The sequence below is a fragment of the Homo sapiens genome, chromosome 15 (genome assembly GCF_000001405.40).
Source record: "Homo sapiens chromosome 15, GRCh38.p14 Primary Assembly".
In the NCBI taxonomy this organism is placed as follows: domain Eukaryota; kingdom Metazoa; phylum Chordata; class Mammalia; order Primates; family Hominidae; genus Homo; species Homo sapiens.
The window spans coordinates 52,023,078-52,041,348 of NC_000015.10; the positions used below are offsets into that span (position 1 = coordinate 52,023,078).

The window sequence follows — 18,271 nt, forward strand, 5'->3', positions numbered from 1 at the left end:
GCCTGGGTGACAGAGCGAGACTCCGTCTCAAAAAAAAAAAAAAAAAAAAAACCGAAAAACAAACAAAATAACTGGATATCTTAGCCTGCTTCCTGTCTCCAAGGTACTGCTTTATGAAATGCTGAGCCTTCTTACCACTGCTATCCAGTTCTTTGTTACATTTGAACCTTGTGTTACTCTAGGTCCCCTGTTAAAATGGAAAGAAGATGCCTCAGAAGTAAATTCTGTGTGGCATTGTTGGCTGCCTTCATTAGTTCCTTCAGCCTGTTTTGTGGGCTGTTGAACATTACACTACAACCTGCCAGTGGTGTGGGAATTTTGCTCATTTTTATTGCTGAGAGCCTTGACTGAGACTTCACAAAAACAACTCCAATGTTACTGTAGTTAATGGCATTTTCCAGGGGTTGCTTTCATGTGAAGCTGATGCTTTTAAGGTGACAGTGATTTGGGCCTAGTCCAGCATTGATTGGTTTTTTCACCTCCATGAACTGCGTATTTGGAAAATAATGTGTGTCTCTCTAAGAGTTTTTTTGTTTGTTTGTTTTTTGTTTTTGAGACGCTGTCTCCCTCTGTTGCCAGGCTGGAGCGCAGTCGCGCCATCTCGGCTCACTGCAACCTCCACCTCCTAGGTTCAAGCGATTCTTCAGCTTCAGCCTCCCGAGTAGCTGGGACTACAGGTGCGCACCACCATGACCAGCTAATTTTTGTATTTTTTTTAGTACAGACAGGGTTTCATTATGTTGGCCAGGATGGTCTCATCTCCTGACCTTGTGATCCGCCTGCCTGGGCCTCCCAAAGTGCTGGGATTACGGGCATGAGCCACCGCGCCCAGCCAATAGAGTTCTAAAAGTTTTGTCTTTTATACATGTCAGTCTTCTAAGTCCATTTCTAAAAAATTGTTCAGAGATTGAATGTTTGTATAGCAAATACAATTTCCCATTGATTTTCGTTAAATTTGGTATTTTTTTCACAGAAAAAAATGGTATCATAAAACTTGTTTTTTAGAATCCTAGCATTTACCTCAGAAAAGTCTGCCTCTGCAGAAAGTGCAAATCTGTATGCATTTAATTCTGTACAATCATAAAACTTTAAAATATTAGTGTTTTGGAGGGGTCATGGGCATTATCTTGCTTCATTCATGTACATCGTTTGACAGCTAAGGAAACCAAGGCCTGAAGAGATCTAAGATCTTGGTACTGAAAGTGTGATTTCTGGACCAACAGTATTAGCATCACCTGGGAACTTGATAGACGTTAGAATCTTGACTTCATCTCAGTCCTACGGTCCTACTGAATTAGAATCTTAGAATCTACTTTTTCTTTTTCTTTTTTTTTTTTTTTGGAGACGGAGTCTCACTCTGTCACCCAGGCTAGAGTGCAGTGGCACGATCTTGGCTCACTGCAAGCTCCGCCTCCTGGGTTCACGCCATTCTCTTGCCTCAGCCTCCTGAGTAGCTGGGACTACAGCTGCTGCCACCGCGCCTGGCTAATTTTTTGTGTTTTTAGTAGAGACGGGGTTTCACCGTGTTAGCCAGGATGGTCTCGATTTCCTGACCTTGTGATCCGCCCGCCTCGGATCCGCCCGCCCGCCCAGCACTCCCAAAGTGCTGGGATTACAGGTATGAGCCACCGCGCCCGGCCTTCTTTTTTTGTAAATAAGAGGCACAATCTTGCCCTGTTGCCCAGTTTGGATTGGAGTGTAGTGGTGTGATCATAACGCACTGCCACCTGGAACTCCTGGACTCAAGTAATCCTCTCACCTCAGTAGCTGGGACTACAGGCATGTGCCATCATACACTGCCTTTTTTTTTTTTTTTTTTTTTTTTAAGAATTGGAGTCTCACTGTGTTGCCCATGCTCGTCTCAAACTCCTGGCCTCCTAACGTGCTGGGAAGAACCTGCATTTTAACAAGATTTTCAAGTCATTCAGTGCGCATTCAGTTTGAGAAGCACTGCTAAACGATGCATACACCTGGGCAACATAGTGAGACCCTGTCTCTACAAAATAAAATAAAATTAGCCTGTTGTAGTGGTGCACACCTTTAGTCCCAGCTACTTATGAGGCTGAGATGAGAGGATTGCTTGAGCCCAGGAGGTTGAGGCTGCAGTGAGCCGTGATCGCACCGCAGCGTTCCAGCCTGGGCAACAGCAAGAGACCCTGTCTCAAAAAATACGTAAATAAATAAAAATTAAAATGATGCATACATGGTTGCTCAGCTCGTTAGTCTTCTGAGTTGCTCTTTCCACTGGCCCTTCTGAAAAAAGTCAAATGGAAAATTTGGAAGCTAATCACTGCCCAGTTGAACTTTCTATGATGATAGAAGTGTTCTGTGCTATCCAGTGAGGTAGCCATTGGCCATGTGTGACTGTTGAATACTTGACGAGCAAGTAGTGCACTTGAGGAATTGAATTTTTTATTTAATTTTAATTCCTTTAAATAGTTGGGGCTGGGCGCCGTGGCTCACGCCTGTAATGCCAGCACTTTGGGAGGCTGAGGCGGGCGGATCACGAGGTCAGGAGATCGAGACCATCCTAGCTAACATGGTGAAACCCTGTCTCTACTAAAAATACAAAAAATTAGCCGGGTGGCGGGCGCCTGTAGTCCCAGCTGCTTGGGAGGCTGAGGCAGGAGAATGGCATGAACCCAGGAGGCGGAGCTTGCAGTGAGCGCCACTGCACTCCAGTCTGGGTGACAGAGCAAGACTACGTCTCAAAAAAAAATAAAAATAGTTGGATGTAGCTGGTGGTTACATGGACAGCACAGATCTAGATGATCTTTGCCCACTCTAAAATCTAAGCTGTAATTTAATAACTGGTTAGACTCAGTTTAATAATTGTCCTTTCTTAATGTACAAATTGGAGAGAGAGTATGTTGACTTAGTTTTTCTAATATGCCCAGATATTATTTCAGTATGTATTATAAAACAGTGCTGATTTTCTAATTGATACATCTGTGTTCAATAAAGTAGATAATCTAAGTTGTAAGCAAGTCAGTTTCTTTCCATCTTAACAGGTATTTTCACTTGAATTTTTAAAAAGTAGCTATTAAGTTTTCCTTAGTTATCCTGTGGAAAGCATTGGCAGGATAGTTTTTGCCTCTGGCCTAGTCCCTCTAGGCTTGTTGGCACTTGTTGATTACTTCCAGATTGATCTGCTGTTTATGTTAATTCCAGGTACCGAAACAGTGGTTCTTAACCTCCTACCTTTTTTTGTTTTGTTGTTGTCGTTGTTTTGAGACGGAGTTTTGCTCTTATTGTTCAGGTTGGAGTGCAATGGTGTGATCTTCGCTCACTGCAGCCTCCGCCTCCTGGGTTCAAGTGATTCTCCTGCTGCAGCCTCCCAAGTAGCTGGGATTACAGGCATGCACCACCACGCCCAGCTAATTTTATGTTTTTAGTAGAGATGGGGTTTCAACCATGTTGGCCAGGCTGGTCTTGAACTCCTGACCTCAAGTGATCCACCCGTCTCGGCCTCCCAAAGTGCAGGGATTACAGGCGTGAGCCACCGTGCCTGGCCTTAACCTCCCACCTTATGCAGTGGGAAGATTCTAACCCTATAGTCACAGGCCTATGTCCAAATCTTGGCATTTACTGTGTGTGTAAAGAGCATCAGTGCTCTTGTTTGTAAAATGACATTTACAAGACTGTAGTTTGAGATGAGAGAAATAATTTGTCATTTAGAAAATGCCTGTCATGGCTGGGCGCGATGGCTCATGCCTGTAATCTCAGCACTTTGGGAGGCCGAGGCAGGCGGATCACAAAGTCAGGAGTTCTAGACTAGCCTGGCCAACATGATGAAAACCCGTCTTTACTAAAATACAAAAAATTAGCTGAGTATGGTGGTGCATACCTGTACTCCCAGCTACTCTGAAGGCCCAGGCAGGAGAATCGCTTGAACCCAGGAGGCGGAGGTTGCAGTGAGCCGAGATCACACCATTGCACTCCAGCCTGGGCGACAGAGCAATACTCTGTCTTGAAAAAAGAAAATGCCTGTCACAGCCGGGCGCGGTGGCTAATGCCTGTAATCCCAGGACTTTGGGAGGCCGAGGCGGGCGGATCACAAGGTCAGGAGTTCAAGACCAGCCTGGCCAGCGTGGTGAAACCCCATCTCTACTAAAAATACGAAAAAACTGGCCATGGTAGCGTATGCCTGTAATCCCAGCTACTCGGGAGGCTGAGACAGAAAAATTGCTTGAACCCAGCAGGCGGAGCTTGCAGTGAGCCGAGATCGTGCCACTGTACTCCAGGCTGGGTGACAGAGCGAGACTCCCTCTCAAAAAAAAAAAAAAAAAAAGAAAATGCCTGTCACATAATAGGTCCTTAGTAGATGTAAGTTACCTACCCTCCCCCTCCTGCTTGGATTTTATAGCCCTCTGTAATTGAGTTTTATGCTTAAGATTCCAATCAGGCTTAATACATATTCTGAGTCTTCATCTCTACCCGTTACTGTAATTTCATGCCTTGCTTTGTTCATGTTGTATCCCATGTAGATTGTGCCATTTGTGCTCTGGATGTCTTCTCTTGACTTTTTTTTTAATCTTAATTTTTTTTTTTTTTTTTATAGGCGGGGTCTCCCTGTGTTGCCCAGGCTGGGCTCAAGCAATCATCCTGACTCGGCCTCAAAAAGTGCTGGGATTACAGGCATGAGCCACTCTGCTCAGCCTGTTGATTTCTCTTTATTTATTTATTTATTTATTTATTTATTTACTGTTTTTTGAGATGGAGTCTCACTCTGTTGGCCAGGTTGGAGTGCAGTGGCACGATCTTGGCTCACTGCAGCCTCTGCGTCCCAGATTCAGGTGATTCTTCTGCCTCAGCCTCTTGAGTAGTTGGGACTGCAGGTGCCCACCACCACGCCCGGCTAATTTTTGTATTTTTTTTTTTTTTTTTTTTTTTTGAGACGGAGTCTCGCTCTGTTGCCCAGGCGGAGTGCAGTGGTGCGATCTCAGCTCACTGCAAGCTCTGCCTCCCAGGTTCACGCCATTCTTCTGCCTCAGCTTTCCGAGTAGCTGGGACTACAGGCGCCTGCCACCACGCCCGGCTAATTTTTTGTATTTTTAGTAGAGACAGGGTTTCACCGTGTTAGCCAGGATGGTCTCGATCTCCTGACCTTGTGATCCGCCCGCCTCGGCCTCCCAAAGTGCTGGGATTACAGGTGTGAACCACCGCGCCCGGCAATTTTTGTATTTTTAGTAGAGACGGATTCGTCTCTGTGTTGACCAGGCTGGTCTTGAACTACTGACCTCAAGTGATTCATCTGCCTTGGCCTCCCAAAGTGCTGGGATTACAGGAGTGAGCCATCGCACCCTGCCAGCCTGTTGACTTCTTAAGGACTTACCTCGTTCTTGCCTACATCATGAATTTTTCCCTTTCTGGATTATCTTTATTAATATGCAGATGTGCTTTAGGGCTGTACTGTCCAGTATGGTAGCTACTAATCAATAGTGCTTTCTGCAATGAAATGTGTGGCTGTTAAAAGAAAAATTTAAAAAATTTAGGTCCTCAGTGATGCTAGTCATATTTCAGTTGTTCAGTAGCCATATATGGTGCTAATGGCTGCTCTATTGGACAGTGCAGATATAGAACATCCCTATCATTGCAGACAACACTATTGGACAGCACTAAGTGTGGCTTCCTTGTTTATAAGCCCTCTCGCCATTCCACATTATTCTCTAGCTACAGCCTCATTTCTCTGATTCTCTTCCAAGCCAGTTTTCAAAAGTTGTCTTTTTGTGCTCTCTCCACTTCCCTTTGCTTCTCAGCCTACTACAGATTGGCCTCCATTCTTACCACTAAAACTACTCTAGTCAAGGTTGCCAGTGGTTTCTATTTACTAAATTAGTCTTACAGGCTCTTGTAGGAGCATTCAATATAGTTGACCACTGTTTTCGGCCTATTCATCTACTTCTCATTTTATGAGACATATGTTCTTGTTTTCCTTCTACTTTACACCTTGTTATACTGTATGCTTTTTTTTGTTTCTGAGACGGAGTCTCGCTGTCGTCCAGGTTGGAGTGCAGTGGCGCAATATTGGCTCACTGCAACCTCCATCTACTGGGTTCAAGTGATTATCCTGCCTCAGCCTCCCCAGTAGCTGGGATTACAGGCGCACACCACCACGCCTGGCTAATTTTTGTATTTTTAGTAGAGATGGGGTTTCACCATGTTGGTCAGGCTGGTCTCGGAACTCCTGACCTCAGCCTCCTTATTACAGGCATAAGCCACTGCACCTAGCTTTGTTTTTTTTTAATTATTAAACAGGCTTCTCTCCTTTACCTGCCTCTAAGTATTGGCATACCTAAGACAGGATAAAACTCCTGGGTTTTTTTTTCACCCTCTTTTTCTAAATTCTTCCCTAGATGGTCTCATTCAACTCATTGTTTTAAATGCCATCTGTATGTGAATAATTCTCATATTTATGTTTCTGGTTTAGACTTCTTGCCTGAGCTCCAGACATATTATCCAACTGCCTTGCTAGACATTACCACTTAGTAACCTAGTAGGCAGTTGTCTAAATATACCTAACATGTCCAAAATAGAACTCTCTTCCATAATATTCTTCCAGTCTTTCTCTCTTCTGTAACTGGCACCTAGGATTTATCCTTGAATCCTGTTTTTCCCTTATCCCCATAGCTAATCCATCATCAAGTTCTTTTGGTCTCCAAAATATCACTTAAATCTGTTTATTCAATTATCTGTTTTACATCTTTATTTCTGCCACCTTAGTCTCAGCCACCATTATGTCACCTGGCTTACTGAAATAGCTCTTAACTGGTCTTTGCTTTTACTCAGCTACCTTCTTCAGACATTCTTCTCCCAGTAACAAGAATCTTCTTTCAGAAATGTAAATGAAATAATGTAGATTGCCTGCTTAAAATGGTTTCATAGTTTTTCTTTGGTCTTAGTTATGAGATTCAGAATCCTGCCTCATGTGTTCCTTCCTTCCTCATTGCTACCTCCTTTCCTTTGCCCTTTGCTGTGGATGCTGTGGCTACACTGGCATTTCTTTTGCTCCAAAATGCCAAGTTTTATCCTGCCTTAGGTTTGTTCAATTTGTTGTTTCCTCTGTTAGGAATGCCCTTCTCCCATCTCTTAGCAGTGCTGGTAGCTTCTTATTCAGGTTTCAGCTCCTCAGAGGGCCATTTCCCAGCTACTAGGCCAAATCTGAATTTGTTAATTAGCTAACATGTTTGTTGGTCTTTCCTTACTAGAATGCGAGCTCTTCGGAAGCAGAAGAACCTTGTCTGTCTTATTCTCTACTATATTGTCAAACAGTGCCTGGCACATGCTAAGTGCTCAGTAAATTTTTGTGGACTGTATAAAATGTTTGATTCCTTTAAATCTCAGAAGGGAAAAACTGCATAATAATTGCATTGTACCCAGTGTAACGTGATTCTGGACTGGGTCCTTTACCTCCCAAGTACATGATTGAGATAATTGCAGAAACTTAAATGGGGCCTGATTATCAGATGGTAGTACTATACCAGCGTTAATTTCTTGATTTTGATGGTTGTGTTTTAGTTATGCAGAAGAAGGCTTTTTTTTTTTTTTTTTTTTTTTTTTTTTTGAGGCAGAGTCTCACTCTGTTGCCCAGGATGAAGGAGTACAGCGGTGCAATCTTGGCTCAGTGCAACCTGCGCTTCCCAGGTTCAAGGGATTCTCCTGCCTCAGCCTCCCGAGTAGCTGGGACTACAGGCGTGTGCCACCATGCCCAGCTAATTTTTTTTTTTTTTTTGAGACAGGCTCTCAGTCTGTTACCCAGGCTGGAATGCAGTGGCGTGATCTCGGCTGACTGCAGTCTCTGCCTCCTGGGTTCAAGCAATTCTCGTGCCTCAGCCTCCTGAGTGGCTGGGATTACAGGCATGTGCCACCATGCCTGGCTCATTTTTTTGTATTTTTAGTAGAGACAGGGTTTCACCATGTTGGTCAGTTTGGTCTTAAACTCTTGACCTCAAAGGATCCACCCGCCTTGGCCTCCCAAAGTGCTGGGATTACAGGTGTGAGCCACCATGCCTGGCCTTAATTTTTGTATTTTTAGTAGAGAGACAGGGTTTCCCCCTGTTGGCCAGGCTGGTCTCAAACTCCTCACTTGAAGTGATCCGCCCACCTTGTCCTCCCAATGTGCCGGGACTACAGGTGTGAGCCACTGCCCCCAGCCAGAAGAAGGTCTTTGTCTATAGGAAATATACTCTACTCAAAAGGTTGGGGAGTGAAGGGAGATATGTACTATACTTGTCAATAAAAAAATAAGTTACAGTGAGAGATAATGGAATTTGGTTTACAAACCTGGTTCAAATCCTGGCTCTCTCATTCATGTGTGATCTTGAATGTGTTTTTTAAGTTCTCTAAAATAAAGATTATATTTTGCCTATTTTGCCTATTGGGAGGATTTAGTGTAAGGGTATATGTCCAACACAATGCTTCACACATAATACAGTCTCAATAAAACCTTGCTTATATTCTTGTAAAATGTTGACCAGGCGTGGTGGCTCACACCTGTAATCCCAGCACTTTGGGTGGCCAAGGTGGGAGGATCGCTGGAGCCCAGGAGTTCAAGACTAGCATAGGCAACATTGGGAAACCTTGTCTCTACCAAGATAATAAAAAATTGAGCCGGGTGTGGCACCTTGCACGGTGGTCATAGCTACTCAGAAGGCTGAGATGGTCCACCCACCTTGAGCAATGGAGGTGGAGGTTGCAATGAGTCATGTTCATGCCACTGCACTTCAGCTTGGGCAAGCGAGATCCTGTCTCAAGATAAATAAAATAAAAATTTCACCATTTTATTTTCATGTTCAGTGCTGTGACTTTCTTTATAATATGAACAAATAATTTTTTTTTTTTGAGGCGGAGTCTCGCTCTGTTGCCCAGGTTGGAGTACAGTGACACGATCTCGGCTCACTGCAAGCCCTGCCTCCCGGGTTCATGCCATTCTTCTGCAGCGCCCACCACCACGTCTGGCTAATTTTTTTTGTATTTTTAGTAGAGATAGGGTTTCACCATGTTAGCCAGGATGGTCTCGATCTCCTGACCTCATGATCCGCCTGCCTCGGCCTCCCAAAGTGCTGGGATTACAGGCGTGAGCCACCGTGCCCAGCCCAACAATTTTTAATTTTTTTTTTTTTTTTTTTTTTTGAGACAGAGTCTTGCTCTGTTGCCAGGCTGGAGTGCAGTGGTGCAATCTCGGCTCACTGCAACCTCCGACTCCCTGGTTTAAGCGATTCTCCTGCCTCAGCCTCCCGAATAGCTGGGATTACAGTCATGTGCCACCATGCTCAGCTAATTTTGTATTTTTCATAGAGATGGGGTTTCTCCATTTTGGCCAGGCTGGTCTTGAACTCCCAGCCTCAGGTGATCCATCTGCCTTGGCCTCCCAAAGTGCTGGGATTACAGGCGTGAGCCACTGTGCCTGGCCGTGGATAGATATTTTTAATAGACTTTTTATATTTTCGAGATATTTACCCTTTCTGAGTTTTTTATTCCTCTCTGTAGATCTGGGGTTAGTTACATTTGGTGTATTTTTCTTTCATCCTAAAAGACTTCTTTTAGCATTTCTTGAAGTGAAAGTCTGCTGGAGACAGATTTCTATCCAGTTTTTTTAAATACTTTTTTTCTTTTTTTGTTTTTGACACGGACTTTCGCTCTTGTTGCCCAGGCTGGAGTGCAGTGGCACAATCTCGGCTCACTGCAACCTCCGCCTCCCAAGTTCAAGTGATTCTCCTGCCTCAACCTCCCTAGCAGCTGGGATTACAGGCATGCGCCACCACACCCAGCTAATTCTGTATTTTTAGTAGAGATAGGGGTTTCTCCATGTTGGTCAGGCTGGTCTCAAACTCCTGACTTCAGGTGATCTGCCCGCTTCAGCCTCCCAAAGTGCTGGGGTTACAGGCGTGAGCCACCGCGCCCGGCCTCCTTTTTTTTAATGGAGACAGGGTCTCACTATGTTGGTCAGGCTGGTCTTGAACTCAAGTGATTATCCCACCTCACTTCCTGAGAAGTAACTGGGATTACAGGCATAAGCCACGGCACCTGGCATCTTTCTACTTTTGTCTTTTCTTTGAAAAGGTCTTTTGAAGGTTATTTCTCTTAGATACAGAATTCTGGTGTGATGGTTAGTATTAAGTGTCAACTTGATTGGATTGAAGGATGCCTAGGTAGCTGGTAAAGTATTGTTTTTGGGTGTGTCTGTCAGGGTGTTGCCAGAGGAGACTGACCTTTGAGTCAGTGGACTGGGAGAGGAAAACCCACCCTCATCAGTGTGGGTGGGCACCATCCAATTGGCTGCCACCGAGGCTAGAACAAAGCAGGTGGAAGAAGATGGGATAAGCTGGCTTGCTAAGTCTTTTGGCTTTCATTTTTCATCCGTCCTGGATGCTTCCTTCTGTTCCTCCTGCCCTTGAACATCAGACTCCAGATTGTTTGGGCTTTGGACTCTTGACTTAGACCAGTGGTCTGTCGGGGGTTCTCCAGCCTTCAGCCACAGATTGAAGGCTGCACTGTTAGCCTCCCTGCTTTTGAGACTTTTGGACTCAGATTGAGCCACTACTGGCTTATTTCTTCCCCAGCTTGCAGACGGCTTGACGTGGGACTTCTTCGCCTTGTTATTGTGTGAGCCAGTTCTCCCTAATAAGCTCCCTTTCATATATACATAAAACTTATTATTTCTGTCCCTGTGGAGAAGTGTGACTAATACATCTGGGTTAATAGGCTTTGTTTTTTATTTTATTTTTTCCTTATTTTCTTTTTGGGTTGATAGTTTTTTTTTTCTTTTGGTACTTAAAACATATTCTATTGTCTTCTGTTTTTCATTGTTTCTAGTGATAAATCAGCTATCATTCTTATTATTCTTCTCCAGTATATACTTTATCTCTTTTCCCTGGTTGCTTTTTTGTTTTTTGTTTCTTTTTTTCCTGGTTGCTTTTTTTTTGGATATTGAGTTTTGCTCTTGTTGCCCAGGCTAGAGTACAGTGGTGTGATCTCGGCTCACTGCAACCTCTGCCTCCCGGGTTCAAGCGATTCTCCCGCCTCAGCCTCCTGAGTAGCTGGGATTAAAGGCATGCACCACCACGCCCAACTAATTTTGTATTTTTGGTAGAGACAGAGTTTCACCATGTTCGCCAGGCTGGTTTCAAACTCCTCACCTCAGGTGATCCGCCCGCCTCAGCCTCCCAAAGTGCTGGGATTATAGGCGTGAGCCACCATGCCCGGACTCCTGGTTGCTTTTAAGAATCATTCTTTTTTGTCGTTCGTTTTTTTTTTGAGACAGTCTCGCTCTGTTACCCATACTGGAGCACGATGGCTGATCTCGGCTCATGGCAACCTCTGCCTCCCGGGTTCAAGCAGTCCTCCCACCTCAACCCCCCAAGTAGCTGGGACAGGCGCATGCCACCATGCCTGGCTCATTTTTGTGTTTTTTGTAGAGACGGGGTTTCACCATGTTGCCCAGGCTGGTCTCAAACTCTTGAGCTCAGGCTGCCTGCCTCGGCCCCCCAAAGTGCTAGGATTACAGGCATGAGCCACTGTGCCCTGGCGAAGAGTTGTTCTTTCTCTTCCTTCCTTCACTTTTCTTCACTTTTCTTTTTGTTTTCAACAATTTCACTCTGTGCGTAGGTATTTTTGTTTGTTTGTCTGTTTGTTTATTGAGATGGAATCTTCCTCTGTTGCCCAGGCTGGAGTGCAGTGGTGTGATCTCAGCTCACTACAACCTCCTCCTCCCGGGTTCAAGTGATTCTCCTGCTTCAGCCTCCCAAGTACCTGGGAGTACAGGTGTGCACCACCACGCCCGGCTAATGTTTGTGTTTTTAGTAGAAACGCGGTTTCACCATGTTGGTCAGGCTGGTCTTGAACTCCCAGACTCAAGTGATCTGCTTGCTGGCCTCAGCCTCCCAAAGTGCTGGAATTGCAGGCATGAGCCACTGCGCCTGGCCTTGTTATCTCTTCATATGCTCCTGCTTTACTGAACCTTTGAGCTCTGCTTTTTAGTCTAGATTCTGGTTCTTTGGACTGCTGGGAAATTCTCTTTGCTTTCTAGTCTCATCCAAGATTTTCCTTATCTCTTGATTTTGCCCTAATTCTTTGACTCGGCCTTAGGAGGAATATCTGTCTTACATTCTTTGAAGACTCAGAATGTCTCAGAGGTGTTTATTCCATGCTTCCTGTCTTGATCCCCTTCTACAGAGAGGGCCGCTGCCTTGAACATGGTAGAGGCTCTTTTCTTCATGGGATTCTCTCTGCTTTTCTGCCTTGCCCTCAGACTTGGACACATTCAAAACCCATAGGGGGCCGGGCAGTGGCTCACGCCTGTAATCCCACCGCTTTGGGAGGCCGAGGCGGGTGGATCTCGTGAGGTCAGGAGTTTGAGACCAGCCTGGCCAATATGGTGAAACTAAAAATACAAAAATTAGCCAGGTGTGGCGGTACACGCCTGTAGTCCCAGCTACTTTGGAGGCTGAGGCAGAAGAATCGCTTGAACCCGGGAAGCGGAGGTTGCAGAGAGCCGAGGTCACACCACTGCACTCCAGCCTGGGTGACAGAGCGAGACACCATCTTAAAAAAAAAAAAAAAAGAAAAGAAAAAATCCATAGGGAAGAGTTGGCAGTTGGGGCTTATAGTTGGGCCTCCTCCAGATTCTCTAATATTTTATCTGAGTCCACATGCAACCATTAAAATTAAGTTCGTTATTTGGCTGGTTTCTCCTTAATCCTGTCAGTGGATTCCTGGTTCTGCCACTTTGCCAGGAATGAGAATAGCCATGGTCTCTTCCCTTCTAAAGGGTTTGACTTTTTCTCTGATTTAGCTTATTTATTATTTAGATTTCTTTACATGCTTAGCTCTCTGATTTTTTTTTTCCTTAAACTATGATTTTTGTAGCTTATCCAGCTTGTTGCAGTTTATAGAGTGAGGCTTGGTATCTTGCAACTTTGAGCATTCTAGTCAGAAGTGGAAATCCTGAGCCTTTTGTTAGAATTACAAAATTTGAGAGCTGGAAGAGACCATAGAAATCAAGTAGTTTAAGCCAGGTGGGGTGGTGTGCGCCTGTACTCCTAACTACTACCTGGCTCTGCCTGGGTGACAGGGCAAGACCTTGTCTCTTAAAAAAGAAGAAATCCTGTAGCTTAGCCACTTTGTTTTCCTGATGAGGAACTGAGACATAAAAATGTGAAATTCTTTGACTACACAGCTGATGTAGCCACAGATCCTGGAGTAGACCCCAGATCTTTAAACTTATGGTTTATTTCCTTTAATATAAGCTGTCCCTCTTGGTTTCATGTTGCTAAAACAACACCTGAGACTGGGTAATTTATAAAGAAGAGAAATTTATTTCTTACAGTTCTGGAGGCTTGGCAGTCTGATACCATGGTGCCGGCATCTGGTGAGGGTCTCCTTTCTGCATCAGCCCATGGTATAAGAGAAAGAGAGGGCCAAATTTGCTTTTATAATAGGCCCACTCCCACAATAATGACATTAACCCATCTGCTTCTTACTAGTGATTAATAATCACCACTTATTAGGCCCCACCTCCTAACACTTGCATTGAGGATTAAGCTTCCAACCCATGAACTTTGGGGGACACATTCAAAGCATGGCACGGGCCTAGTGAAAGACTGGACTCTTTCAGTAGGGCCAAATTCTTGTATGGATCTGATAGCAAACCAACTTAAAATTTTGTTTTTAAATCTCGCAAGCTTTCTTTTTTTCTTCCTTTCTTTCCTTCCTTCCTTTTTCTTTCCTTTCTTTCCCTCCCCTCCTCTCCCCTCCCCTCCCCTTTTTTTGTGAAAGCAGGTTTATTAAGAAAGTAAAGGAATAAAAGAATGGCTACTCCATAGGCAGGGCAGCCAAATCTTGTAAGCCTTCTTCAGTTTGGAGAAAATGAGAAATAAAGAGGAAGGATATTCCAAAAAAATAACATGCCATTCTGAATTGTTTTTAAAAATTAGGGAATTGGCCAGATGCGGGGCTGATCTGTAATTCCAGCACTTTGGAAGACTTAGGTGGGAGGATCACTTGAGGCCGGGAGTTCAAGACCAGCCTGGGTAACATAGTGAGACCCCATTTCTACAAAAAGAAAAAGAAAAAAAAGTTGAACGTGGTGTGTGCCTATAGTCCCAGCTACTCAGGAGGCTTAGTGGGAGAATTGTTTGAGGCAACAGAGTGAGACCCTGTCTCTTAAAGAGAATCTCCAAGTAAGCATATGGTTCTCTCCATTTGAGAGTCCAGAGATGTTTTATATGGCCTTGCATAATGTGACCTTCTTCAGACCCTCACCAGAGTTAGCTCAAAAACAACAGCAGTCACGTTTGATCTGTAGTCTGAAAAGCTGTGGTGCTAAACCCTGCTAGGATGGACTGAAGAATAGTGTCAAGGTCTTGCATATCTTCATTATACCTTCTTTGGTATTACATGGGCTGATAGGACTTTTTAGAGTCCTGCTTGACTGATTATATAGGATGCTATTTCAGTGGCACAGTCCCTCCCCATCACCTCAACAAGATAAGATGAGAGCTGTAACAAAGCTGAAGTGTTTCATTTCTTCATTCTGAGTGGGTTGAAACCAGCTGCCTTCTTCATGTTGTTGGCAGACCTGTGCATTCGCATAGAGTGAGGGTCCTGGTGGAATGCCTGGAAAGGAAAATACCATATCTGGGAATCTTCACTGATGTTTTCTAGTGGTAGATCAGAATGTGATCAGATTCTGAAAAATTCGAGGATAGGACTTCCCTTCTCCAAAGCTTTCTACTCACGTAGAATATGCTATTTACATTGATTCATTCAGTACATATTTTAGGGTACCTACTAATTACCAGGTACTATGCTTAGGAAATGTCCCCAAAGCTACTTAGTCCCAAACCTTTTATCATAGACAAAGCCACAGAAAAAAGGAGGGGAATGGTGCCCTGGAAAATGAAGAGTAGAGGTTCTGAAGAATCACATTAGATTAGGTTGGGGGAGGATGGCAAAAGAAAAGGGAGTGAAAATGTTATTAGAAAGAGGAGAAAGAAAAGTGAAATGTTAGATAGGGAGGAATCCACTACATGCCCCTGTGCTCCAGGAGTAATAATGTGTTCCTTTGAGCTCAAGATTGAAAAAAAAAAAAAAATTGACCTCTGCTATAGCTTAATGCCTAAAACAATGCCTGGCACATGGTAAGCATTCAGTAAAATGTTGAATGAAACGTAATGGATGGATGGGAGGGTTGAATCTGTTTAGTCTGTTTAAAAGATGTTTTAAAAACATCTTGGTTCATTCTGCTTCTGGGCCCATGTTGGGATTGCATTTACCCACTCCCTTGGGTATACGTATGACCATGTGACCTACTTTAGTCAGTAAAATGTGAGAAGTGAATGGTGTCACTTTTGGATGGAAGCTTTTTTGCCAGTGAGATAGTCTTACTTTTCTCTGCTACATTGCATGTAATTGGTAGAGATGGTGGGTACTTTAGCAGCTTGGCTGACAGCTACGTTGAACTTGTGGCATGAGCAAGACTTAGATTTTTGGGGGCCATCTATTATCCTGACTGCTTTGAAAATTTATATTTTCATCTAGTTAGAATCCTCAGGTGTCCAAAGGTGCTTGAAGAAAGAGGCTGTGCACATGTCTCCTGTCCTATATTTGCTCCAATATTTCTTTAATGTTAGTTAGGTTAGGAATCTTAGAATAAAGCCTCCTGCCGGGAGGAAGATAAGAAATGGGATCAAGCGTTATTATAATTATTTAAAAATTTCCAGCCGTAAGTTTGTAGAAGGGATTATATTTGTTTAGTATACAGCAATTTGAATAACATCTCTCCCATTCTGAGCATACCACCACAGGGCTTGGGAATAAAACTAAAGAAATATAAGACTTGTAAATCATAGACTTAGAATTGGAAGAGTCTATAGGGATGTTATTACTAGTTTATCTGGTCTATGAATTTTTGAATTTCTAATATGAATGGGTTACAGTAAATCTGTAACTAGGAGATGGAGTCTCCCTCTGTCCCTCAGGCTGAAGTGCAGTGGCACGATCTTGGCTCACTGCAACCTCCACCTCCCAGGTTCAAGCGATTCTCCTGCCTCAGCTCCTGAGTAGCTGATTACAGCAGTGCACCACCATGCCAAGCTAATTTTTGTATTTTTAGTAGAGATGGAGTTTGACCATGTTGGTCAGGCTGGTCGCAGGTGATCCACCCGCCTTGGCCTCCCAAAGTGCATGAGCCACCACGCCTGGCTGTAACTAGACTTACTAGTTGTAATCTGGTTACAGATTTACTGTAAGTCATCCATACTGGAAAATAACAACTAGAGATAAGCAACAAAATAAACATAATGGCATGTGCTTTACAATGGCTTTTTAAATGGCCAAAGGCAAATGAAAGCCCCTAATGTTAAAATGCATGTAGGCAAGGGCTTAAACAATTTAAGAACACAAATTGGTAGTAGTAGGTGAGTGTTTTGTCTTTTTTTTTTTTTTTTTTTTTTTGAAGACAGGGTCTCACTCTGTTGCCCAAGCTGGAGTGCAGTGGTGTGATCTCAGCTCACTGCAGCGTCCGCCTCCCAGGTTCAAGCGATTCTCCAACCTCAGCCTCCTGAGTAGCTGGGATTACAGGTGTGAGCCACGACACCTGGCTAGTTTTTGTATTGTTAGTAGAGACAGGGGTTTTACCATGTTGGCCAGGCTGGTCTCCAACTCCTGGCCTCAGGTGTTCTGCCCACCTTGGACTCCCAAAGTGCTAGGATTACAAGTGTGAGCCACCACGCCCAGCCTGTTTTGTCTTTAAATTGGATACTTTGTTACTGTCTTCTCTGACTTTGAAAGTTTGTCTCTGTAGATAAGCATAGTTACTGATACTACCCAAAGCCTTTCAGACTTTGGCATTTTAGATTTAAGGTCCCATGTCTTTTCCCAGGTTCCTAAGATTATTTGTTGTTAATAGTTTATACTCCCAGCCTCCTTGATGTCCAAATCCTGAAAGGGCCCCTGATAACTCTTATGGCCGCCCACCATACATTAGGAGCAAGGGCTTTGTCAAAAATGCAGTGAGCAAGCAGCTAAGCTGTAGCACTTGGCCTTCTCTGCCCGAAAATCTTAGTAGCTTTGATGAGAGCTTGAGACATGATCTCAGGGAAGGGTGAATTTGCTACAGCTACATTTATCTGTGCCAGGGTTAGGAGATAGCCCTAGGTGAATATAAGAAAAGCTCAACCTTTCCCTTCTGTCCAAAAGCAACTGGGTTTTGGCTGAGGAGATGTGAGGCTGGCTAGGTTCCTGTTAACTCAAATTACTCACTTGACTATGGAGAAGAGCAAAATAAGAGCCTTTGTGGAGAGGGGATGGGGGAAGTGCTGTGCTGTCAGTGAATGTGAACAGGCCAGATGACCCATGTCAGCATTTATCCTGAGAAGCAGCAGAGCAGAAGGTTGAGGAGAAAACCAGAAAAAGTAACCTTTATGTTTATGGCCCTTACTTCAAACTTTCTTTGCACATCTAGACTTCCTTTTTGACATAAGTAGGCCAAGTTGCTCCTTGATAAGAAAAAAAGAAAATTCTGGCGAGATAGGACAAAGTAAAGTTACTTCTTTTGTTTGCATTTCATTACTTTATACACTTAGGCTTGACTCCCAGTACCAGCATTACTCTTGGTGTGGGGGTAGACCAGCTGACAGGGAGCAGGAGGTAATGTAGCAAAGAGAGCAGTGCTTGAGCAGACAGTTGTGGCTAATGCAGTTTCAGGGAACTGCCTTATAAACTTAGGAAGCTGGTATCCAGCCTGCATTATAAAGAGCTTTTAATTCCATGACATGGTAGATCACTGAAAGAAAGCCAAAGAAAAAGCAAAAAGCCAACTTTTATTCTTATAAATTATTCTCTTTACTTCATTTTATTCACCAAATTTTTAAAAACAAAACAATATCGAACCAGCTAATTAAACTTAATGATCACTCCCCAAACAACCCAGAATCAGCAATGGTTGGTAGGAATGGGTAACATTTATTTGGAAGCAGAGAAATTGGAAAGATGCTGGAAAGGGTCCCTTTATGTTACCTTCCTTTTTACTGCCTTGTTGAAGTGTGTAGAACGTGTAAAAAGAATATGGAGCCCCAGTTTTTTCCTGGGTCTAAGCTTTAAACTTTGTTTTTTTGTTTTTTTGTTTTTTTGTTTTGAGATGGAATTTTGCTCTTGTTGCTCAGGCTAGAGTGCAATGGCGCGATCTCGGCTCACAGCGACCTCCACCTCCTGGGTTCAAGCCATTCTCCTGCCTCAGCCTCTGGAGTAGCTGGGATTACAGACATGCGCC

At 43.8% G+C, this 18,271-nt stretch overlaps 1 protein-coding gene across 11 annotated transcripts in view, besides 2 other annotated features; it reads left to right on the top strand.

Annotated features, from left to right (window-relative positions):
• MAPK6 (mitogen-activated protein kinase 6) overlaps positions 1-18,271 on the top strand; it is a 95,551-nt gene that overhangs the window by 51,253 nt on the left and 26,027 nt on the right. For 2 of the 11 annotated variants that reach the window (XM_047432847.1, XM_047432850.1), the window contains exon 2: positions 4,562-4,796. The exons of the other annotated variants lie outside the window; for them this stretch is intronic. The gene's annotated coding sequence lies outside the window, so the exon portion shown is untranslated. The remainder of the gene's footprint in view (positions 1-4,561; positions 4,797-18,271) is intronic. 11 annotated transcript variants of the gene reach the window in all.
• Positions 1,847-2,427: an enhancer, noted in NCBI's record as "H3K4me1 hESC enhancer chr15:52317121-52317701 (GRCh37/hg19 assembly coordinates)". NCBI's record gives its function as "activates a minimal SCP1, AML or CMV promoter by ChIP-STARR-seq in primed H9 embryonic stem cells {active_cell/tissue: H9 hESC(primed)}" and the evidence as "EXISTENCE:reporter gene assay evidence [ECO:0000049][PMID:30033119]".
• Positions 5,749-5,948: an enhancer, noted in NCBI's record as "active region_9416". NCBI's record gives its function as "activates an Ori minimal core promoter by ATAC-STARR-seq in GM12878 lymphoblastoid cells {active_cell/tissue: GM12878}" and the evidence as "EXISTENCE:reporter gene assay evidence [ECO:0000049][PMID:35858748]".